We start from the raw sequence: 24,186 nt of genomic DNA on the forward strand, positions 1-24,186 counted from the left end.
CGTGGGCTCTGGAAAACACCAGTCTCATCCCGTCTCCCTCTACCTGGCTGGCCCTCCACAGTGACCCTCCGTGCTTTGTCTGGCATTTTTTTTATCTGCGTGCTAATCTCTCTCTCTTTTTCTCAGAGTTTTGCTCTGTCGCCCAGGCTGGAGTGCAGCGGCGTGATCTCAGCTCACTGCAACCTCCACCTCCTGGGTTCAAGTGATTCTCCTGCCTCAGCCTCCCGGGCAGCTGGGATTACAGGCACGAGCCACCATGCCCGATTAATTTTTGTATTTTTGTAGAGACAGGGTTCCACCATCTTGGCCAGGCTGGTCTGGAAGTCCTGACTTCGTGATCCACCTGCCTCGGCCTCCCGAAGTGCTGGGGTGACAGGCGTGAGCCAACATGCCCGGCCCGTTAGCAAGCTGAGGGTCCCTTGAGCACAAAGACTCCCAAGGGCCCACAGTACTGGCACCTGCGTGACCCCGAGTGAGTGAATACATGCTCCAGATGGTGACCCCTGCTGGGGAACACAGACCCTGGGGGTGGCTCAAGGTAGTGAGATGGGGTCCCCCGGTCCTTCCGCAGCCCCTCATCGCACTCTGTACCCTTTGCTGCTTTTGTCCAGAGAAGGCAGGTGATGTCGTGGTGAGCGGTGAGAGAAACGGAGCCTATGTGCAGGTGTGCGTGCCCCTTGTGGGTTCTTGTCACATGTCCCTTCCCATCACGGATGAGCAGAGACGCCCCTGCCCCACCAGGAAGGAGCCTCCGTATTTCTGGACGGTGAAAAGAGGTGTCCTGCTCAGAGGGGAGGAGCCTTCCTGGGGAATGATGTAGCTGGAAAGTCACTGGGGGTGGTCGGGACCCACCCGAGGGTATCGAGACCACAAAAATCAGTGCACGCTCCGCCTTCTGTGGGAAGTCTCAGTGTCGGTGAGGGACCGGTGGCCCCCAGGAACCCCATGTTTCTCTCTGCAGGGTCAGCTGTGCTTCTGTGACTAGGGGTTGAGGGGTGCATCCCACCTGGGTGGTGGAGGTGTCGGGAAAGGCCCTGAGTTGGATGAACACGGACTTCCCACCAATTGCTGGCTGGAAACCCTCCTCGGGGGAGGAGGAGCAGGAAGAGGCCTCGTGGTTCCAGAAATTCCAGGAAGGCCTTTCCGGAGCTGGGGCCCAGGCTGTCTTTGAGGATCCTGGGGTGGAGGAGACGGAGAGGTCTGAGGCATGGGGATGGGCTGCAGGGGCCACTGCTCTCTCCCATCGACGCCATCAGCCCCAGGTCCTAGAACGGAACAGGCTGCCTGTGTGGGCCCCCGGGCCTGGACAGGACCCTGCCGTCTAGGGGCCGGCTCTGCCACAGCTACCAGTGGGGTGGGTGATGTGGGGGCTGGACAGGCACTCCAAGCTCCCCCTCTCCACTGCCCTGGCCACACCAACTGCCAGGGCAGCCCATGCTCACCAGCAGAAGGAAGTCCCCTTGGGCGAGAGGGCGGGAAGCCCCAGTGGCCTCTGGGTGGCATCTGGGTCCAGGGAGCGTCCAGGGGGTTGTGTGCCCTGACCTGGTGCCAACCTGGGCAGCAGGCTCTCGGGGGGGGGGTGGGCTGGGTAGGACTTCAGGGATGGTGGGGAAGGAAGAGACCAGGGTACTTGGTGGCTGCACACGGGCCCTCGAGTGCCCCGGGAGCTCAGGAAGACACTCTGACCTAGGCAGGTCTGGACCAAAGCTCTGAACTCATCCCACTTCCTATCCCGAAGATCTAGACCACAATACCAGGCTGCTTGGGGCAGGGCCAAGGGGAGGCTCGAGTGAGCTGAAAGGGCCCTGCTGATGACCCAGGGACAGGGTCTGGGGACACCTGAGCCAGCAGGGAGGCGTTCGGCCTTCAGCTGTGAGTGCCGGGCAGCCTCTGGGAGGAAGGAGCTCCTGGAATCTAGAACACCCTCTCCAGCTGCCTTCCAAGGTAGGAAGGCTCTGCATGAACAAATACTCCAAGGTTGGGGAGCGCATGGCCTCTGAGGAGGCCCAGGTCTTTGTTCTTCGTGGGGCACCACGCCGATGCCGTAACTTCTGCCTGCAGCCCTGCCCTGGGTGCAGGTCATGGAGGATGACTCTCTCCTCTGGGTCCCTGGATGAAAGATCTGCAGACCATGACCCTGAACCCTCTGCCAGACCTGAGAGACCCCAGCCTGAAGAAAGGAAGGTCAAGGCCGTCTGTCCATCCTCTGGGCTCTGGGTGCTTCCCACCTGGACACGCTTCCTGGGAGGCTCTGGAGGCTAATAACTGGGTGGTGAGACTCCCATCCTCCTGGTTGGAGAGTACTTCATTGGATGCAGCATTCACCTTTTCAGCAGCTGCTGCTCACTCGGGGATTCTCTCCATGGTCTGTGGCCTCTCACGGGCAAGCCAGACCCAAGCCAGCCTCTGTTTCTGACTTTCCTGTCCTTGCGTGGCAGGAACTAGGGGACAGGGCTGGGTCCTTTCTTCTTTGTAGCCTCAGTGCCAATTCAGTGCCTGGAACACGGCAGGTGCTCAGCAAATGTCTGCCGAGTGAAGGAAGACTTTATGTGTGTCCTGGTAGGCTGTGTCTGGTGGCCCCAGGTGTCCAGGAGGCATCTGGCCTCGGTTCTGTTGTTCAGTTAGAGTGCTAGGTCCGTCCCCAAGCTGTGTTATCTGTGTGTCTGACCCTCCTGCTTCTGGTTTTCTTCTGGGACGAACCCCTGAGGCTCACCATGAGAGACCCCCTCGTCTGTCCATAAGGTGGCTGTCAGAGGTTTGAGCAGATAAGCTGTGTCTACTGGAGTCAGTCAGAAGGAGACCCAGCCTGCTCTAGCGTGACTTGTTTATGGTGAACCCGGCTTGGCTCCTGGGATCATCTCTGTCTTTTCTAAGCACACACAGGGCGTGGGTTTGATGAATAAGAACCAGAGCAGACAGGGAAGCTTGGCCCCTGCTTCTACCACCCTGGGGCCTGGCCTTTTCCATGTGTGTCCTGTGGCTGTAGGAACCCTGGGTATCAGGATGCTGGGGGCGCTGGAAAGGCTGATGGTCTCGGGGCAGATTCGGGCTGGGCGGGGCTCCAAGCAGGGAGGAAAGGCACCGCCTGGGTGCCAGATGAGGGTCGGGTCCAGCCCAGGAGGTGGCTGGGTGGGCTCTCTCGGCAGAGGGCCTGGGTGACGCTGGAGGAAGCCCCTGCCCACACATGCACCGGGGGAAGGCTCCTATCTGCGTCCACGCAGCACGCTGGGAGCCAGGCTGGACGGCAGGAGGGCTGAGGCAGTCGGGAGGGGGACCCCCATTGGGAGCCGCCGGGGCGGTGCCACTCCCGGGCAGTGCAGAGAGCTCTGGCCTCCTGCCCAGCCCCGCCAGCTAGCACATCCAGCGGCTGGGACAGGGCCAGCGGGGACAGTTGGATGAACCTGGAGCCCCAGAGCAGGGGCAGGGGAGGCACATGGAGATCTCAGTGGAGGGGACCAGACAAAAGGAATAGGCCGGCTGGGGCTCTGGGGGGTGGGTGGAGGCAGGGCCTGGTTTTTGTACCCAGAGCCCACTCCAGGCCAGCCGCTTGGCCACTCCCTGCTGGCTCTCTTTGCTCTCAGGAAATCTGAGAAGTGAGGGCTCAGCACTTTTGCCTGGGAGCTGCATTACAACCACATAATTGAAGCTATCTGATTGGAGGCCAGCCAAGCAGGTAGATTACAAGTGATTAGAAATGATAGGAGGGCCTGCAACCCGAGGCAGCTCGGAGGGCCCTGGGCCACCTCCACGGCTCTGCCTCTGCCCTCCGCCCGTCTCCTTCACTTTCCACTAACAGGTCTCTGGCAGCGAGGACACCTCCCAGCTGGGGTGAGTGTTTGCTCGAAGCAGGGAAGCCAGGCCCAGGCGGCTGGAGGACGGTGGCTGCCACCCCACCCCTAGGTGCCCGGCCATTCCTCCAGATGCCTGCTCATCACAAAGCTCCTTGGCGCCGGGGGTCGAGCAGGGGCTGGAAATGCCTTCACTGGGGGTGACTTCTGGCCCAGGAGCCCCGTAAAAGGCCTGCCCTCCACACACAGAGGCCCTGCCCAGGCCCCTCGCCCACCTGGTACACCTCATGCCCTTCTGGGCCACCCTTCTTCTGGGTGGGTGCTCCTCCCTGAAGCTCCAGGGCTGGGCCTGGGGTCGTGGGGGCCCTTACCGGCACTGTCTGGGTCCCGGCGATGGGCTGTGTGCTGGCCTCGGAGCCTGGCTGCTCGGGGTGGGTCTGTGCTGGTGTGTACAGGGTCATGCCATGCTCTGTGGGGACCGGGGTCTGGCCGGAGTAGTCCTGCGTGGGGTGCGGTGGGGGCGGGGCGTACTCGGCAGGGATGCCGTTCTGTGGCGGAGGGGGGTACTGGGCGGGGGGGTAGGGCTGGGCCATCGCTTCAGGCGGAGCCGTGGCGTCCTGATCGCTCTGTGGAAGGAGAGAGAGCAAGGCCTGGTTAGAATCTTGTCCCCTTCCCGGAGCCCCTGAGGATGGGGCCTTGTGGCTGAGCAGAGCTTCTCCAGCAGTATTTTCAGCAGCCTTTCCCCGGCCCCTCCAAGGGGGGCTCGCCGGCATGGGCACCAGCTCAGAGCAGGAGGGGGTGCTGCGCTGGGAATGCCGGGGAGCCTGGCTCTGGAGTCAGACACCCCTGGAGTTCAGCCCATTTACTCACACTTGTCAGACCTGGGTACAAGAACAACTGAAGGGTTTTTGTAAACTACCTGATTTTAAAAAAATTAACCATTTTAAGGTAACTGTAGGCTCGTGCAGCTGTAAGAAGTAACACAGTGATCTGTACACCTTGTAACCAGGGTCCTCACGGTAACATCCATAAAACCACCACCAGCAGGATACTGACATGGATTCACACAACACACAGAATGTTCCAGCAGCATGAGGACTACTGCTCTTCCCCTTTTAGAGCCAACCCATCTCCTTCCCACCTCAAGAATTTTAAGCCTTGACAGGTGGATCACCTGAGGTCAGGAGTTCAAGACCAGCCTGGCCAACATGGTGAAACCCCATCTCTACTAAAAATACAAAAATTAGCGGGATGTGGTGGCACGTGCCTATAATCCCAGCTACTCGGGAGGCTGAGGCAGGAGAATCACTTCAACCTGGGAGGCAGGGGTTGCAGCGAGCCAAAATCGCACTATTGCGCTCCAGCCTGGGTGATGAGAGCGAAACTTCATCTTCAAATAATTTTAAGCCTCAGTTTTGTCATTGGAAAGCAGAAGTGAGAGGGCGGCGCTGCCCAGCCCGCACCTGGATCCCTGGAAGTGACTGTGCAGAAGCTGAACTCAGGGCCTCCTGCCTCCCCTGCCAGTGATGGCCATGACAGTGAGGTGTGTCGGGGGGCAGGGAGGGTTCCAGCCTCTGTGTCAAGGATCTCTGAGGAACTCTCAAAGATCTGTCTGTGCCCCCTCAAAGGCCTGCTGCCCCAAGCGGGGAATACTGCTCCTGCAGCCACTCTCAGAGGCTCTTAGAAGCCCAGGCCCTTGGGCAGGACCCCAGCAGCAATACAGGGCAGTGGTTGTCAAAGTGGCCTGGGCCCACAGCATCAGCAGCACCTGGGAGCTTTTTGGTGGGCAATGCGGGTTCCAGGGCGCACCCCAGGCCTCCTCCAGCAATCTGCGTGCACTGAGAACCACTGACCTAGGGCCTGAGAAGCAGCCCTGGTGGGGAGCCCTTATGATCCCAAGAGGAGGGCTGGGGTCTTTCACAGTGCCAGAGAGCAAGGTGCAGGCGGAGGCGGCAGAGGGAAAGGGGCTCCGGCCTCCTCCACTCGCTGTCCTCCACTGCAGACACAGCCTGGGGCCCAGGACCCCCTGAGCAGGCGAGGCACTCGCCCCCCCAGGAGTCTGCGGTGAGGAGGCCCCACTGCCTGGAAGGACAGATGCCGCCTCTGCCTGGAGCAGCCCAGTGTGTTAGGACCCCTGCTCAGATGTGGATGGGTCTGACGCTCAGCCACCCTGGCAGGGACAGGCAGGAGTCCGCGTCCTTGCTGAAGGTGGGCTTTGCGGTGGGGAGGAGGAGCGCCCAGCAGGGAAGTGGCTGCTCACCTCCCTCACCTGCGCCTCCACCCCACGCTCCCATCACCCGGGGCCACGCACGCTTTGTTCACACCACACACGTTAGTTCAGTGAGCACCTACTAGGTGCAGGCAGAGGCTGGGGGCTGCCCCCGCAGGGCGGTCTTTCTCCCGCTTCCCTCCACACCCACACATCCCCCTCTGCCGGGCTCCTGTGTTCTCGGCCTCTGGGCAGTGCCTCCCCTGGCTAAGGAGGAGCCCCTCATGTGCCCATGCTCCCTGCACAGGTGGATCTGGCATGTCCACCTCTGTCCTGCCTCCCCCACCCCTAGCCTGTCCTCTGCATCCTTCATTCAGTTCCTACAAATCCACCCAACAACTGTTGATGGGGTACCTGGGGTGTGCCAGGCCCATGCCAGGGCAGGGGCTGTGTTGACAGCAACCCCGACAGCCCCTGCTCCCTGCTGGTGGGGCCTGCAGTCCAGCGGGAAAGGAAAGCTTCAGAGAACAATGACCCGATGTCAAACCATTGTTACAGCACTGAGGGCTGCAAGGGACCTGGCTGCACCAGGGAGGTGGCCCCAAGGGACGGTCCAAGGCTGGGTGTTCTGCTTCAGACCCGGCCACCCCCTCCTTCTGTTTATGGCCCCAAACCCTCTGCCTGGGGGCCCAGCAACCTAGGGTGGGTGCGCATAGCTGGAAGGGTGGAGCCTGGGCAACCCAGCCGTGCCCTGCTCCCTGAAGCCCCCAGTGCCGGCCGGCCCTGGGCTCTGCAGCGGGGGCCGTCTCGGTGCTCGCCACCCTGCGACAGACTCGCTGACTGGGAACCTAAGGAGCAGAAGTGCTGTCCTCCTCCCATCCCCACCCCTCCACAAAGCCAGCTGGCTCCTTCCCTCTCTCTGCAGACTCTGAAACTGGGGCGACATTCAAGCTCCTCAGCCACGGGAGGGAAGCACACACGTGTGCATGCGTACACACTCGTGGGAGGTTCCAGGCTCATTGCCCCAAGGTAGCTGGTGAGGCCCCATCGTCCGTTGTTAGCAAACGTGTTGGTGACGGAGTCCAGTGGGAAGGGGTGGATCCATGAGGGAGGAGGAGGGGGAAGGAGAGTCAGGGCACCCAGGAGGGGTGGAGAGCATCTAGAACCCAGGATGGCCAGAGGCAAAATCAGGAAAACAGGAGCAAGAGAAAGTGTGGAAGGCACAGCGTGAGGGCCCTGCAGACACAGGGGAGATGAATTTGCTGATAAATATTTGATTAGAGCCTTCACCGCCTTGCACTGTCTTCCCAGCAACCCCCTCCTCCACCTCCTCCAAGGCCTGAGAAAGAGTGGGCTCCTGGTTGGGTGCAGTGGCTTATTCCTGTAATCCCAGCACTTTGGGAGGCTGAGGTGGGAGGATTGCTTGAGCCCAGGAGTTCGAGACCATCCTGGACAACACAGTGAAACCCTCTCTACAAAAAATAAAAAAAAAAAAAATAGCCAGGTGTGGTGGCACATGCCTCTAGTCCCAGTAATGTGGGAGGCTGAGGCAGGATCATCACTTGAGCCTGGAGGTTGAGGCTGCAGTGAACCAAGATCACACCACTGTGGTCCAGCCAGGGTGACAGAGGAAACCCCTGTCTCAAAAAAAAAAAAAAAAAATAAAGAAAATAAAATAAAAAAGAAAGCGCAGCTCCTGTCCCATCTGCTTCCTTCTCACCCTACCTCTAACCCTCTGCAGGGCTCTAATCCCTGTCATTCAACTTGGGGCTGAATGACAGCTGCCAATCACTCTCACTTGAGGTTCTGCAGGGCTGAAGCCCAGAGCCCTGAGCTAACAAATGACAGGCGAACCCGCCAACATAAAGGGGGGAGCTCCGGCAGTAGGTGCCAGATCTGAGGGCATCTGTGGTGGGCAAGAGGTCCCTAGCAGATGGGGACATTTTAGGGACATTTGTGACACTAGAATAAAACAGCATATTTGAGCCCACAGTGCTCCCTGCTTTTACAGACGCTCACTCATTGAGTGGACACTTCCCCCTTTCCCAGCTAATAAAACCGAGGTGTAGAGACAAAGTGATTTGCCAAACTAGTATGGGAGGACCCCAGAGAGCAGCACTGGCAGCCAGGATCCCAAACCCACCATATGCACCTCCACATGGAATTGTAGCCCTGCCCAGGGTGGTTTGCAAGGGAGAGGAGGTTTCACAGCCAAGCATCGGGGTCTAGACCCTGCAATGCACGGGGATGGGCTCCAATGTCCCCTCTTAGCCACCAGGTGGTCCTGGTGACTGTCTGTCCTCTCTGCACAGGTTTCTCCATCCGCAAATGGTCACAATAGAGCCTGGACAGAGGAAATGCAGAATGAAAGCCAGCCAGCGTGACTCAGGGGGTCTTAGGGTGACAAGCAATATCCCTGCCCTGTGTGTCCTCCACAGCTGTGCTGGTGTGGCTGTGGTCCTGCAAGCGGCTCTCAGAGCTGGCTACACATCCCAGTCACCTAGAGAAGTGTCCACACCTGGGCCGCACTCCTGAACAACAGAGGCCACTTACAACCAATGTTTCCCAGGAGACTGACATGCAGCCCTGGTGGAGAGCCCCAGACCAGAAAAGCAAAGTGTATCAGGCCCATCCTGATAGGGTACGTGAATGCCCAGCACACAGAAGGCTGTGCAGCCAGTATCTGTCCCATTGCTTCTCTTCTTCCCAGGTCTGCTAGGGTCAGAGTCAATGAGGGCCTGGGGTTGGGTGGTGTGAGCGGAGGAGTTCCTGCTGGGCTATGGGGCTTATCTCAGATGACCTCATGTTGGACCAGCTTGTGGAAGGATCTGGTTCCCCAGGGGACTGTACATTCTCAGAGAATGGGGACCACTTCACTCACCCTTTGTCCCCATATCCCTGCACTCAGCACAGCACCCTGTTCTACTCAGAAGAGTCTCAGCGTACAAGAACGGGTGGATGTACGTACGTATGTACGTATGTATGCATGGATGGATGGATGGGAGGGGTACATGGGTGGGCAGGTGGGTGGATGGAAGGATAAATGGATGGTTGGATAGATGGGTGGATGGATGGATTAAAGGGTGGGTAGATGAGTGGATGGATCAGAAGGTGGGTAGATGGATGAGTGAATGGATGGATGGAAGGGTGGATAAATGGGTGGATGGCTGAATGAATGAGAGGGCAGATGGATGGGTGGGTGGATGGATGAGTGCATGGATGAATGGATGGGTAGATGGATGGGAGGGTGGATAAATGAGTGGATGGAAAGATGGATGAATGGATGGAAAGAAGGGTGGATGAAAAATTGGTGGGTGTGTGGATGCACGGATGAATGGATGGGTGGATGGTTGGATGGATAGATGGGTGGGTGGGTGGGTGGATGGAAGGGTGGGTGGGTGGATGGATGGACAGATGGATAAATGGATAGATGGGTGGATGGATAGACGGATGAGTTTAAAGACCATGGATAAGTTGTTATCCTCCCTTCCTCTACAAACTTGCCCCCCTCTTCTATCATCACTTGTGCCTGGCAAAACTGGTAAGACCCAGCTCTTCCTGCTCTACTCCACAGCCCACACTGAGGCAGATAAACACAAAATCACCCTGAATGATTCATTCAGAATCCATGACCACCCCCTGCCATGGGCCAGGCACTGCCATTCAGCTCTCACGACCTGAATGTTGATTTCACCCTTCCTCCTCAACCTTCCAAATATTCTCCTTTATCCTCACTCTTGGTGAGACCTTGCTTCCTGTTTTCTAGGAAACAGGAGACAACATCCACATTCACCTGCCCACCTCCCTGCCTCGTCACCTACACCAGGCCCTCCCTTCTGTCCCCAGGGATGAGCATCGTGCTCCCAGACATGACCAACCACGTCACCTGTACACTAGAAACCAGCCCTTCTCACCATCATATGCTCACATCTCTGGCAATTCGCCCCTTGCACTCCACAGCCATCAATGTTTTCCTCCTGCCAGCACCCTGACAGGCTGCAGTCTCTCCCGTGACAGGGAAAGAAAACCCTCCTTGACACCATGGCTCCTTCATCCTACAAACTCAATTCACCACCTCCCTTAGAGCAAAACTTCCCAAATGAGTTGTCTATACCTGTGGCCCCAATTCCCTCACTCCCATTCTCTCTTGGTCCCACTCCAAGCCAGTGTTCCGAGGCACCATTCCCTGAAGCCACCTTTGTCAAGGTTTTTACATCCACCATACTGAAAATGCAATGTGACCATTGCAATGTGACTGATGTGTCCAGTCCTTGTCTGGTCTGGGCCCTCAGCAGCATTAGCCATAGTTGGTGGCTCCTCTATGTGGAGACACTTCTCTTGGCTGCACTGCCCCACTCTCAGTTGGTTCTATTTTACTGGAAGCTTCATCTGCATTGCTGATTCCTGTCTATCTCTCCAACATCTGGATACTGATGGGCCCCAAAGCTCAGAACTCGGACCTCTTTCTTCCCTGTCTATGCTGACTTTCTGAAGGTTTTGATTTAGTCTCCAAATTAAAAAAAAACATCTGTATGTTGACAATCCCAAAGTTTTATCTCCATCCTGGACTTCTCCCCAGAATCCCAGCTGCCCCTTGCAGTCTCCACTTGGACATCTGATACACTTTGGGGGTTTGACGTGCCCCCAAAGGGACCTCTGACCTCCTCCGCATTGCCCCCATCAAACCCATCTCTGAGGTCTTCCCCATCTCAGGAAACACCTGCCCCCCAGTCCAGCACATAGTCCTAATCTGGGGGTCACCCTTGACTTGGCTCTTTTGGCCCACACACCACAAACAGTCCAGTAGCAAACCCCACAAACAGTCCAGTAGCAAACCCCACTGGCTCCGCCTCCAGCCGCCCTGAACCGCCCACTGCTCCCACCTTGGTCGGGCCGCCATCATCTCCTGTCTGGTCCTCCTACTTCCTCCCTGGCTCCTACACTCTGTCCTCTGCACAGTAGAACCCAAAGTCCTGAGACGGCCCCTCCCCCACCAGGGTCCTGCACGACCCCTGCTCCTGCTTCTCTCCTCTTGCTTGTCTACTCCAGCCACAAATGTCTCCGCTGTTCCTTGAACGTCTAGCTGCCACCTAAGGAATTTGGCACACAGGTGTATAAAAAGGTGCTCACCATCATTGATCATCAGAGAAATGCAAATCAAAACTACACTGAGATATCATCTCACCCCAGTTAAAATGGCTTAAATCCGAAAGACAGGCAATAACAAATACTGGCGAGGATGTGGAGAAAAGGGAACCCTCATACACTGCTGGCGGGAATATAAATTAGAACAACCACTACGGAGAACAGTTTGGAGGTTTCTCAAAAAACTGAAAACAGCTGCCGTAGGATCCAGCAATCCCACCTCTGAGTATGTTCCCAAAAGAAAGGAAATCAGTATATGGAGGAGATATCTGCATTGCTGTTTATTGCAGCACTGTTTACAATAGCTAAGATTTGGAAGCAACCTAAGTGTCCATCAACAGATGAATGGGTAAAGAAAATGTGGTACAGATACACAATGGAGTACTATTGAGCCATAAAAAAAAAATGAGGGCCTGTCATTTTCAACAACATGGATGGAACTAGACATCATTTTGTTAAGTGAAATAAGCCAGGCACAGAAAGACAAACATCGCATGTTCTCACTTATTTGTGGGATCTAAAAATCAAAACAACTGAACTCACGGACACAGAGAGCAGAAGGATGATGACCAGAGGCTGGAAAGACGAGGGGGGTGTGGGCTGGGGGAAGGTGGGGATGGTTAATGGGTACAAAAGAGCAGAAAGAATGAATAAGACCTACTATTTGATGGTATAACAGGGTGACTATAGTCAATAATAACTTAATTGTACACTTAAAAATCACTGAAAGAGCATATTTGTATTGTGTGTAACAGAAAGGATAAATGCTTGAGGAGGTGGACACCCCATCTTCCCTGATGTGATTATCACACACTGCATGCCTGTATCAAAACATCTCATGTATCACATAAATATATACACCTACTATGTACCCACAACAATTAAAAGTAAGAAAAACGAAAACCCTGCTGGCACTCCCCACCCCCTCTACCCCCAGCTCAGTTCTGCCCTTCCCCCTCTGAGTGCCTCCAGGTGTCCATGATCACCGTCTGCCTCTGCCCCCAGAACTAGTCAGGAGAACAAGGACTTTGTCCCTCCTGCTGCTGAATCTCCGGCATCCAGAGCAGTGTGTCACACACAGAGGGGACACGCTAACAACGGCCCTAATGGATGGATCAATGCCCAGATGAAGAAAGACGTCTCGGTGGGCGTGCTCGCTGACCAAGCTCTAGTGTACCCCACACGTGCCATCTCATCGAATCCCCACAAGCCTGTAAGGCAGGCTCAGATGTCAGCCTTGCTCTGCAGATGAGGCTTGGGCAGCCATTCCTATCGCACCTGGCAGGCAGGCGGCAGGCAGTAAAGTTTGGCCAGCCCCCGCCTTCAGGGGCTATTGATGCAGGTGGGGACGTGCAGGAAACCCGGCTGTGCTGCAGGCCTGCTCTGTGTCCACTGCCTCGCGGCCATCATCTCATCTTTACTTACCATTCCTCCATGTGGTCGGTACCACGAACGCCATTTTTACAGAGGGGCCAAGGTGCCTGCCCAGGGTCACAGAGCCAAGGTTCTCACATAGACTGCCCCCTCCCACACACTCTACTGCACACACCCTCTTCAACACAGCAGGCAGGGAAGCGCAAGATGAGTTGGCATGGAGGTGGCGGCTGGCTCATCCCAGCATGTGAGTGCCACTGGGCATGCTCTTTACAACTCCAGGTCTAGTGACCACACTGGGAGTCTGAAATCAGCCCTGGTGGGAGCATTTACACCACAGGAATCGGCAAAGGCTGCACATCACACATAAGGGCTGGATTGGGATTTGTCACAGAAGAGAGGGTTGTTAGACATTTACCGGCACGCCACTGCCCAGCTCCCTTCAATCACACAGCAAGGTGACCACCATGGCTGCCCCGGAGGCCTGAACGTGTGGCAGATAAATGACACTGAACGAGGCTGTCTGCAAAGACTGCACTCGACATTTTAAAATCAAATGCAATTCAAGCAACAGTTATGGAGCCCCTCCTCTGGGCCTGTATTTAGAGGTGAACGAGATGGGGCCTTATACACTAGAGGATTTCTGGTACCACAGGGAACTGACCATTCCCAGCCAGCAGCAGCAAGGGCTGGAAGGTGGTGAGCTCCATAAAGGCTAATGTCCACGTGTCTGGCAAAAGTGAACCAGGGGCCATGACAGAGAGGGATGGCACCAGCTCGGGTGTGGGGGCAGAGGGAAGGTGTTGCGGGGGTGGGTGGCCAGGGCTGGCCTTGTAGGCAGGGCCAGGGCTCTGGGAGTGGCTGGCCTGCCAGGCCCGCTCTCCACCCCTTACCCCGCCTCTGCTCCATGAACCTGGCAGCCTGGCCTGGACCTGTAGCCCTGTGGCTTCCTGGTGACAGTGGGGGGTGGGAGAGGAGTGTGGGTCTGGTGTATTTGGTCCCCTGGTTGCCCACTGGGAGGCTGTCGTCGGCTGGCTCTGTCCTGGACCATGGTGGACTGACCTTGTCTCGGGGGGAGCCCAGTCCACGACTCTCCCCACTCCCTGGCTCTAGTCATTGCTTCCTCCACGCGCTCCTCCGGGCCTGGCGTGGTGATGGCTCTGTCGTCGCCAGTTCTGGGGTCCTGTGCTGTCCCTGGTGGTCCCTCCAACCCTGACCTCTAGACGCCTCCTTGAAAATAAACTCGTCTCCAATTATCCGGGAATGAGCGAGCCACCTGCTGCCTGTTGGATCCTGATGACATGACGGTGTGGGGCGAGGGCTTCCCTAGCCCAGGACAGGCAGGTGGGGCCCTGAGCAGGTTGGGGCTGTGGCTGGCTGTCTGAGCCACAGGGCCTCGCCTGGGCTGTGCTCTGGGTGTACATGTCCTTGGTCCCAGGACCCTGTGCACTAGCCCCACCACCACTTTGGGCCTCAGCAACTTAGTTTGTGGGATGGGGACAATGACTCATCTGCCTGGAGGCAGGGCCGGGCAGAAGCACCCTCCATCTTCCAGACCTAGAGCTGAGGACCCCCAGAGGTGTCTGCCCACGTCGCTGGCCCAGTGTGTTCTCTACCCGGCCTATCCCTTGGCCAATGTGCTCTCCGGTCCTGCCTGGTAAGGTCCCCCAGCCTGCGTGTGGGACAACGGGCCGGCAGGGAGCTCAGGGAGCAGGCGGCAAGGAGACAGGCTGGCCAATGGTCTGGCCGTGGATGGAGCCCCTCCCGCACGGCCTGGCCGCCTTCCCTCGGCACAGCCCTTCCTGGCTCCCTCTCCTCTCAGGCCCTCCAGGACAATGAAGCTAATTGCCTTCAGACGGCTCCCGCCTGCGGGAAGGGCGCCGCGTGGCCCTGGGCCGGCGGGGCAGGCTGCAGTGGGAGTGAGGCTGGTGGCGAGGCTGGGCACCGGGCCATTTCTCCAGCACCTCTGGGCAAAGCCCATTCCAGGCAGAAATGGGGAAGGGAGGGAGGGGGAACGCCAGGCCCCATCCGCCGAGCTGTGAGGTGTGTCACAGCCTGTGCCACCCATGCAGGTCACCTGCCTGCCCAAGAGGTGAGTCCACCCACCTGCAGATCTGTGCTGCCCTCACCCTCATAGCCACTACCACCCCCTGCACATTTAATTCTCCTGCTGACCTGCAGAGGTGGATGTCACAAGCTGAGTTTCACAGAGGGGACACCGAGGCCAGCAGCTATGTGTTCCGTGAGCAGGAAAGCCCCTCACCCCCTCCCCACGATCTGGGACACCTCAGACTTCCTGGACGCGTCTGCCACATTCCCAGTTTGAATGCGGTTGGAACACAGACGTGTGAAAGTCTGGTGTGAGGAGGGGGCTTGAGGCTGTCAGCCCCACATATCCCTGTGATGGGGACCAGAACAGGACAGACGGATGTCCACTTCCAGAGTCTGGGGTGGGGGCCAGAGCCATCTCACCAAGAGCGTGTGGTGCCCTCATGTGGCAGGCGGCGATTCACAGGCAGGTACCCGATGTGAGCACCCCTGCCCGGCCCACAGCCCTCCCGAGATCCTGGAGGAATCTGGTGTTGGAAGGGGAGGCTGGTGACCCGGGGGCTGACCTCTGGCAGGTAGGGGGTGTGGGTTCCAGTCCCTGGGGTCCCTGATGATGGCTGGATCAGGTGACCTCATTACTCTGACCTCCCCTGCCTGGAAGCAGGGGTGGTCCTGCCCTCCTCCCTGTCTATACACCCAAGGGCGTGCAAACGAGGCCCCATCTCTCTGCATGGCAGGGAGTCTACATCCTCGTCTCTGGCTGCAATTGAGCACCCTGAACACTCCTTCAGTTCTAGAATCTTAGAACAGGTAGTTTCTGCAGGAGACACCCAGCCCAGCCCGCCAGACAAAGTCTCCTCTGTTCCCTCCCTGACCGGCACCCCGGACCTCTGCTCAAACAAGCCTCCTGACCGGTGCTTTACTAACGAGGAGGCTCCTTCAGTCCACCTCAGAACAGCTCTGCCACTCACTGAGCTGAAATCTGCCTTCTGGAAACTTCCACCCGGCACCGGGCTTTGCAGGCATCCCACAGCCTCCTCTTCGCAGGCTGGTCCTCCAAGAACGCACAGAATCCACCTCTCTAGTATGTTTGGCTTGGGTGAAGCCTCCAGTTTCCTGAGTGGCCAACTGCTACCAGCTTTGCCCATCCTGGCTGCTCCTCAGCACGACTCCAACGCCACATTCACTCCCAACTTACAGGTCAAGAGTCACAGGCAAATGGCTCTGGTTGGATCTGAATCCGGGCCAGCCTTCCAAATTATCACCCGACGTCACCATCATGCAGGTCCGGGTGCACCCTTCCTTCCTGAGGGGCTGGGAGCAGCTTCACTTCTTGATACCTGAGTGCAGAAAGGGGGGCTCCCCAGCTGTGCCTGCCCAGGTGGCCAGTTCAAGAGCAGAGTGGGTAGTTTCCACGAGCCAGAGGACAACCCAGAGATAACGCATCAACAGGAACGATGAGAGGGAGACCTGAGGGAGAAGCAGGTGTCCAGAGCGGTGAGGGAGGAGAGGAGGTGGGAAGAACGGAGGAACAGAAGAACAGGCATTTCTAGACAATGCATTTGCTTCTATTTTCTTGCAGGTGATGCTCCTATTTTCTTTTCTTTTTTTAATGTGCATATTACAGGTCAAAGAAGTTTTAGGGAAAATAAAAGATTATCTAAAACGGATGAAGATTAAGCTGGAAAACATGATGATGTCAAGGGAAGGCCCAGGTGCCCCCGACCGGCGCCCTTGAGCCCCCGCATCAGAGGCCGGTTCCTATTGCTGATGTCACATCGTGTGCTGGGGTCGGGTCTGGTTCCAGGAAAGATGTCCTGCCATGATTAAAGCTGCACTGGGCTGGAACAGCACGAGTTATCTGGATATCTCCGAGGAGGGTGGAGCTGGCCCCACTCATAAGAGACCTGTGACCCCCGATCCCAGGAGGTTCAAGATGAAAGGCGTCTCAGAGAACATTCTGTCCACTTTGTCAAGGAGAAAATGGGCACCGGAGAGGCTGACTTGCCCCTGTCACGCTGCCCCCGTCACGCTGCTGGTGCGGGCAGGGAGCCCTGCTGTTCTGCATGTCTGCACCAGCAGGAAAGTGAGCAATGGTGTGCGTGAATCTGCCCCCAAAATACACACCATGCGACCGCTCAGCGCCAGGTTCTAGATGTCTGGGCACAGCAGCGGGTAGAGTCCTACCCTCAGGGAGCAGACTCCTGGCGGAAGCCCTCCCCAGCATTGGCTAAATTGGAGATGCATGATTCCATGCTCAGGGGTCCCCCACTTGGCCTCTATTATGTTTGGCTTGGTCGAAACCTCCAGTTTCCTGAGTGGCCAACTGAAGGCTGGGCACGTCCTCCTGGCATTGAGCATTTGCTTCAGTGACTCCTAGAGAGGATCCCCCATGTGTGGATGAGGGGGGGACTTTGCTTCCCAGAAGCACAAATAAACCATCGTGAGCGTTTTCTACGACCCACTGAGGTCCCAGAAGCAGGTTTTCCCCAGGTGCTTTGTGGACCCAGGATCCGCCAGGGCTTTCCCAGGATGGAGGTCACAGGTGGCAGGGGGACAGGAGGGCCCGTGCAGCCACAGCTCTCTCTCCCGCACCAGGTTCCTGCCTTCAGACTCAGCTGCTTCCTCCGCCCAGAAACAGGCCACCTCTACAGCTCACAGGCTCCTAACTCCAAGGTCTGTGGTTCCGGCTGGACTGGGAGAGTGAGCATCCCTGCCGGATGAGAGCAGAGGCCCCTGACCAGCATGGAACACCCCCAAAAGCCAGGTCGTAGCCAGCAAGGTGAGAAGCCTGGGAGCCGGGGCTGCCTGCCCCTGCTCCTGTGGGGACTCCTGCTGTGCCAGGACGGGCAGCTCAGGAGACCTCTCACTCCAGGGCAATCTCATGCCTCCTTATCAGGAGCTCTTCGGGAGTCATCCCCAAGGTGCAGGATGTACAGAGGGGTCCCTGCAGGTACTTTAAAGCCAGAGACCTTGGTGCATGGCCCTGTTTCAGCAGAGGTGCTATTGCAAATGCCTCAGGCCAGAGTGAGGCTATGATCACAGTGAAGAAACCTCTGGTGGTGCTTTGCCACCTGAGCCCACCTGAACTTTCCAGAACCTCAGCAGTGGAGGGTAGCACCCCAGACCCCGAGACCCTGAGCACAAGTGCTTGTGCTTCCATCACTGAGTCCCCAGGGGCTGACCCGGTTCAGGCACATGGCAGGTGCTCAGTAAATGCTGAGTGATGCTGCTGCTGCTGATGATGATAATTAGAGTAGTGACGGACGGTGGCTGAAGGCTTACGAATGCCCAGCACTGGGTGAAGCACTGAAAGTACATTATTTCATTTAATCTTCAATGCGCTAAACTGGCATTCTTGATGCAAGGAAAGAAACTCAGAGTGGGGAAGTTACTTGCCCAAGCACACACATCCAGGATGTAGCAGACCTGGGATCTGAACCCAGGCCTGTTTGATCCTGGAACCACCTGCTGCTACCTGACAGGTATGGACTGCTTTCCAATCCGGAGTAAGAGGGTGTGCCCTAGAGACCCAGGGGAGGAAGGAGGGGTGGGCAGCAGGACAACGCTCTCTCCTTCCCCCAAGCCCCCCAGGCTCCTGCTGAGCCAGTTGTCCAGGCTTCCTGAGTTCATTCTAACCTAGTGACCAACCAGGGTTTCCTGAGACCCTGATATGCACCCACCTCTGTGCTTGACACTGTCCTTCAAGGTGCAGAGGACACCATAGCCTCTGTAGGGGCTGACTCAGGACCTCCCCTGCCCCAATGGGGAGAGGTAGTGGTGTGCTGGTAACATTAACAACTGGCTCCGTGGGGAAAAGACTGCTTGTGGCGTTTGCCAATTTCCCTGGTGTAAATACTCCCACCATTGCTGGTTCTAAACTACCAGCCTGAAATCTCTGAAGGTGCAGCTGGGAAGAGATACTTACAGTCCAGAGCTTATATGACACCCCAGCCCATGCCAGGGAGGGGAGGAATGGGCGGACCTGCCCCAGTCGGGCTCCAATTCACTCTCCTTGCCCCAGCAAGAGGTCTAGGGAGGCCCAGGAATGGGGGCTGGTGAGCAAATGGGAGCTCTGCAGGAGGAGGGCAGGGGCTGCCCTGCGGGGACCGGGAGGAGGCTGGGCAGCGCTGCTTGCTGGGGAAAGGCTCAGGAGGTGCCCAGGCCTGGAGCAGGAATGCACCTGAGTGACTTGCTCCCACCCCATCCAACCCATTCTGTCCCCTGACAGCAGGTTTAATATCTTTTATTAATTAGGGCTGTCGGACGCCCCGCCACACTGCATATTACTTCATTCAGGGACCATTAGGTCTCCATGTTCCACAGCCACCGGCTCTCAGGTCCCCTTCCCCCCCGACTTCTCCACGAAGACTTCCTGGAAGGCCCAGGGCAGATCAAGAGCCTGCCCCCGCCCCTCAGACCTAGAGGGGCTTCAGGGATCATCCAGGCAGAGCCACACTGTGGGTGAGCAGGGCTCCGAGGCCCACAGTCACTTCGCAAGCCAACAACCCGCCACCAAGTCGCATGCTCTGCCGCCTGCTGTTGGCAGTGGAGGGCGGGCACAGGCTGGGCCGCTGTGGTCCCTGCCACCGCCCTCTGCCAGGAGCGTGGATGTCCCCACCCTCTTTCTCTCCTTTGCTCAGGTCCACAGCTTCTCATTTCCCCCTAGGGCCTCAGGGCTCTCCCACAGTGGCGTGAGGGCAGGCGGTCCAGCAGGGAGGCGCTGAGTGGGCCATGGGGCAGACCTCCCTGCAAACTCCAGGCCTCGGCATGCAGCCTGCTCTCCAGGCCCCGGTGGGGACAAGCCTGGGTCTCACAGAGCCCGATACCGAGCAGTCTTCTGACACAGTCCCTGGAACGAGTGGAGTGCCCTGTCCTTCAGCCCGGGCTTGGTGCGGGATGGGGCCTGCCATGCTCTAAGCTCTGGCCTCCCTGCCTGGAGGCGGGACCTGGCCCAAGCCTCAAAGCCGAAGCACAAATTCCTCATCAGTGAAGATCCAGAGCCGCCGTGGTGCTAGGACACGGTGCGCGGGAATCAGCCCCGCACCTGCAAGGCAGCGTGCTCTGCGTGCCCTGCGTGTGCCCCATGTGTACTGTGTGCCCCGTGTGTGAGCATGTGTGCCCCATGTGTGCTGTGCCCCCATGTACTTGTGTGTACCGTGAGCCATGTGCTGCGTGTCCCGTGTGTGCTGTGTGCCCCGTGTGTGCACATGTGCGCCCCGTGTGTGCTGTGTGACCCGTGTGCTTGTGTGTACCGTGTGTGAGCCATGTGCTGCGTGTGCTGTATGCTGTGTGCTCCGTGTGTTCTGTGCACTGTGTGTGCCCTGCGTGTACTGTGTGCTCTGTGCCCATGTGTGCTCCGCTCAGTCTCCATGTGCCCTCCGTGTGTATTCCATGTGCCCTCCGTGTGCTGTGCTCTGTGCACGCTGGGAACAGCGCTAGAGCGTCTGTGCTTCTGGACAGGAAAACAAGCCCCTCGTCTACCTTCACCGTCTTCCAGCTGAACGTTGGTAGCACCTCCACCCACAGACGCGGCTGCAAACCCCACGGCGTGAGCCCACCTGACGCAGCACCCACCACCACCCGCAGGAGCCTCAGGCCTTCCTGTTAAGCGTCGCCACTCCGCTATCTGCTGACCTTCACGCTCACTCCAACTCCAAACCTGGGCCTGGTCTCTCACACGTTAGGAAGCCACGGATCATGTTTTCATGCACGGGTATTTTCTTTTGGTAACTGTATCTCAATACAATTGGTTTCCTTCATAATAATCTGTTTTATTTTATGCATTTAAGACCATTATTGGAAGAAGGGGTCAGATATTGAGGGGTTCAAGGCACAAGACCTGGTAGAAACCACTGGCCCAGTGATGCCAGGGGCCTCCCTGCTCTGATGGCTGAGAGATGGCCCCGAATCCTGCCCGGCCACCTGGCCAGAGCCCAACCCCAGCCCCAGACCAGACTCAGTCCCTCCCTGCTCAGGTCAGCACAGATCTCAGCTGAAAAGCGCCAGACGAGGGGACAGATTTTCACACGATTAAGCGGTAATTCTCTCCAAGCTCACTGCATACAAATCATAAATAATGTGGCTCCATAAATCCTCTTCTCCCACCAGCTTCACCTCCACCTACTCTGCGTCTTGCCTGGGGAAAATCAGCAAGGAGCCAGGTGTCTGGCTGATGGGGCTTGGTCGGCAGGTGCAGAGCGGGGTGCTGGGAGGTGAGTTCACCTCGATGGTCAATCAGACGGACGGAAACACCAACAGTTCCCAGCTCCCAGGGTGAGGGGGCTTGAGGCTGCTGGCCAGCTGGGGCTGAGGTCAGACTCAGGCACAGAGCCCAGGAGGGGTCTCTGCAGCGGGTAGACTGGGGTGGGGTGGGGTGGGGTGGGGGGCAGAGGGCGTACGTAGAAGAGCACTGCACTTAGGGTAAGCAAAGGAGCTGAGCGACGCGGGCCAATCACTGCCCCGGATGAGCAGCGGCCTACAGCCCTATTCCATGCACGTCCCTGCCGTGGTCTGAGGCTGTAGCTCTGAGTGTGCACGTGTGTGTACTCACGCAGGTGCAGGCGCCACGGGGGATCAGCACCCGGCACTGGGCGGCTCCCCTCGGAGCCAACAGGAAACAGCGTACATTGCTGGTCTGACGGGTGAGATTGGCAGGAGTGCCAGAGCTGCTGGGGGCAGAGTCGGGGGTGAGGACAGAGGGCCTGGGTGCAGGGTGTCGCGGTCCTCTCTCCCCCTGCTCTGCCCTCAAGCCGCAGGCATCCGCCTGACTCGCCCTTGAGCGGCCTGGCTTCCAGCTGCTGCTCACTGGCCCTCCCCTGGGGCTGAGGAGAACCTCGAGAGCAGCAACACTGGAGGACAGGGAGGGGGTGCAGGCGACATGAGGAAAGCCGCAAGGATTGGGAAGAGAGCACCCAACTCCTCTGAGAGGTAAGGGAGGCGCTTAGGAAAAGCAAAGCCCTTCCCCTGGGAGCAGGAACCCTCTTCTCCACCCTGGACGGGGCGTGCGGGCCCGTGGGAGGCTCCAGGTCCTGAGGATGATCCCCTTGCCCTCATCGTGGCCCCTATAACCAGGCTGCTCTCCATTTCACACACGAGCAAAGTGGCCTGAGCCACACAGGTAGGGGGAGCTGCCAAGGCTGGGTGGGCCTCAAACCCCAGCGTGGGGGTGACCAAAGGCCTCCTTCCCATCCAAGGAGACCTTCTGCCTCCAGGGAGGAGGGGGAGCTCATGGTGGCCTCCTGCCCCTGCCCACAGGAGCAGGGTGGGGAGCAAGGGTTCTGAGATCCCGGTAAGTTACCAAGGCAGGGGCCAGTGGGAGAAGACAGAGGAGGCTGCAGGGGAAACCAGAGGAGCGGGTCCCTGAGGAGGCCTGGGCCCAGCCTTGTCCATCCATGGTCACTACCAGCTCCTAGCAGAGCTTCACTGCAGCTCTCATGCAGCTCCCATCTCACCTTGTACCTTCCCACTCACTCAGCTGAGATCTGTTTGCTGAGCACCTACTAGGTTTGCTGAGCACCTACTAGCCATCTCTGGGACACCATGGTGAAAAACACCACCCCATGTGGTGTCATGGACAGGCTTTGTGCAGAGCTTCTCTGCTGTGACTCAGGTCTTCCCTCCTCTAATCCTCCTCTACATCCTTGAGGTGTCCAAATACCTCCTCTGGGAAGCCTTCCAGGCTACCCCTACCCAGCTGTGATCTCCACTGTACTCAGTTCCTCCTCCATCCTTGCTCAAGTCCTGCTGAGATGCTGCTGTGAATTTATATAAGCAGGTGAGTACACGCAGCATCCGTGGTACACACAGCATTTGGCCTACACCTGAGGGTGGACCAGGAGACACCAGGTTCCTACTCAGTGGGATGGCAAGAACATCATCCAGGCCAAAGCTCCCTCCCAGGGCCTTGTGAGGACAACGCAACAGGTCAGCTGTCAAGTGACCCACCAGAGGAGAAGCGCTGGCTGTGAATATCGGAGCAGCCCCTGGGCCTCTCTCCCCCAGGGTTCCAGGGCCGCTTGCTCTGCCAGCTACAGAGGCATCCTCGTTTCTGTTTTCTGCATATTCATTAAGGAATATTAGCATTATTAATGGCCCATGGTCTTCATTTAGCAAATGGAACAGGATATTAAGCACAGTGCCCAGGACATGAGGTGGGCAGGAGGGGGTGGAGACGGCGGGAAGGCAGGACCCCACCCTTGCACTCTGCACCCAGCAGCCTCAGGTCTGGGACGTTCCCCTGTCCCTCCCACGGTGCCCTGGGGCTTCCAGCAGCCACCTCCTAGTTACTGTGAGCTCCAAGAAGGCGGCTTCAAATGAACATTTGCAAAATGTAATTAGGAAGGTAAATTTCCTGGCAACGAAGATTACATAATGCGTCCCACAGCCAAACACCCACCTGGTGGAATGTGGTTGGAAAACTGGATGTATTCATCACTTGGGATCAGTCCCCTGATGATCCCTTCTTTAATGGGGGTGCTTGGGAGTTGGTGGTCCGGGCAGTGGCTCTGGGAGGGAGACTCTGTGGGTACAGAACCCCTGGGTGCTCACGCCTGGTCGGTCACATGTGGCTGCGCACAGCAGGTGCACACAGCTCTGCAGCCTTGCAGCTGGGACACAGTGAGGTCTGTGTTGCATGGTGAGCTTTGAGACTCTGCTCCTCAAAGTCTGGACTGCGGACCCTGTCATCTGCTAGAAATGCAGATTCCTGGGCTGCACCCTGACCTGCAGCCTCAGAATCACAAACCACAGCTGTCCCAGGGAGGGGGTCCTGAAGCCAGTTGGCACCCTGACCGTGTCAGAGACACCATGCAGGGGCACAGTTCCCCCTGGGGGAAGAGGCAGTTCCCCCCTGCGCCTGGGCCCAAAAGGACGCCACTCGGAACATCAGGGACAGCAGCCACCGGTGGACACTGGCATTCCCACCAGTGGTGCTGAAACAGCTGGTGGGCCTGGAAGAGGGGTCTGGAGGAAGAGCACGGCGGGGCTGGCTTCTGAGTCCATGGGAAAGGCCACCTGGGCACCCTCAGTCACAGCAGAGATTGAGGAGGGGGCAGAGACTTGGTGAGGGAGGGGGACTCTGAGTGCCGTCCTCTGAGAATCACAGTGAGTGGGACCCCATCTGATCCCACAGATGGTGAGGTTGAGGACACTCAGCACACCCAGGATGAGGATACGCGGTCACGAGGTGAGGGGCACCACCTGGTCTAGAACCCTGGCCCAGGGGGCAGCAGGTGCTCTCTGCTTCACCTGTCTGTACCTCTGAGCACCTGCCCAGTCCACTGCCCGGCCACAGCCAGGGAGACTGAGTCAGCGCCGCAGGCCGTCCTGGGGCTGTGTTTCAACTGTAAAATGGGACAGGCAAGGGAAGGCGGTGGGGTCCTGGGGAGGTGAGATGGGTGGCGGTGGGGTCCCTGGGGAAGGAGCCAGGCCACCTTAAGTGCTGTCCTCTCATAAGGAAAACCTTGCTGCCCCAGCCATTAGCCTCTCCTCCAGCAGGACACACCTGCCCTGAGCCATACCCCACCTTTGGAGGGGGTTGCTCTGGGCTGGACACAGGGATGCTCCCTGGGAGGCCTGAGCCCCTTACAGGATGCCCCCTTCCCAAGAGCAAAAGCAGGG

At 57.9% G+C, this 24,186-nt stretch overlaps 1 protein-coding gene across 58 annotated transcripts in view, besides 1 other annotated feature; it reads right to left on the bottom strand.

The window, feature by feature from the left end:
* RBFOX3 (RNA binding fox-1 homolog 3) overlaps window positions 1-24,186 on the bottom strand; it is a 576,227-nt gene that overhangs the window by 21,990 nt on the left and 530,051 nt on the right. For all 58 annotated transcript variants that reach the window (NM_001385807.1, NM_001385838.1, NM_001385842.1 and 55 more), the window contains one exon: window positions 4,160-4,414. In NM_001385807.1, the coding sequence (NP_001372736.1) occupies window positions 4,160-4,381 (222 nt within the window). In that variant the 5' untranslated portion in view covers window positions 4,382-4,414. The remainder of the gene's footprint in view (window positions 1-4,159; window positions 4,415-24,186) is intronic.
* Window positions 5,430-6,334: an enhancer, noted in NCBI's record as "H3K4me1 hESC enhancer chr17:77112846-77113750 (GRCh37/hg19 assembly coordinates)". NCBI's record gives its function as "activates a minimal SCP1, AML or CMV promoter by ChIP-STARR-seq in naive H9 embryonic stem cells {active_cell/tissue: H9 hESC(naive)}" and the evidence as "EXISTENCE:reporter gene assay evidence [ECO:0000049][PMID:30033119]".

Source organism: Homo sapiens, chromosome 17 (assembly GCF_000001405.40).
Source record: "Homo sapiens chromosome 17, GRCh38.p14 Primary Assembly".
NCBI classification, from domain to species: Eukaryota; Metazoa; Chordata; class Mammalia; order Primates; family Hominidae; genus Homo; species Homo sapiens.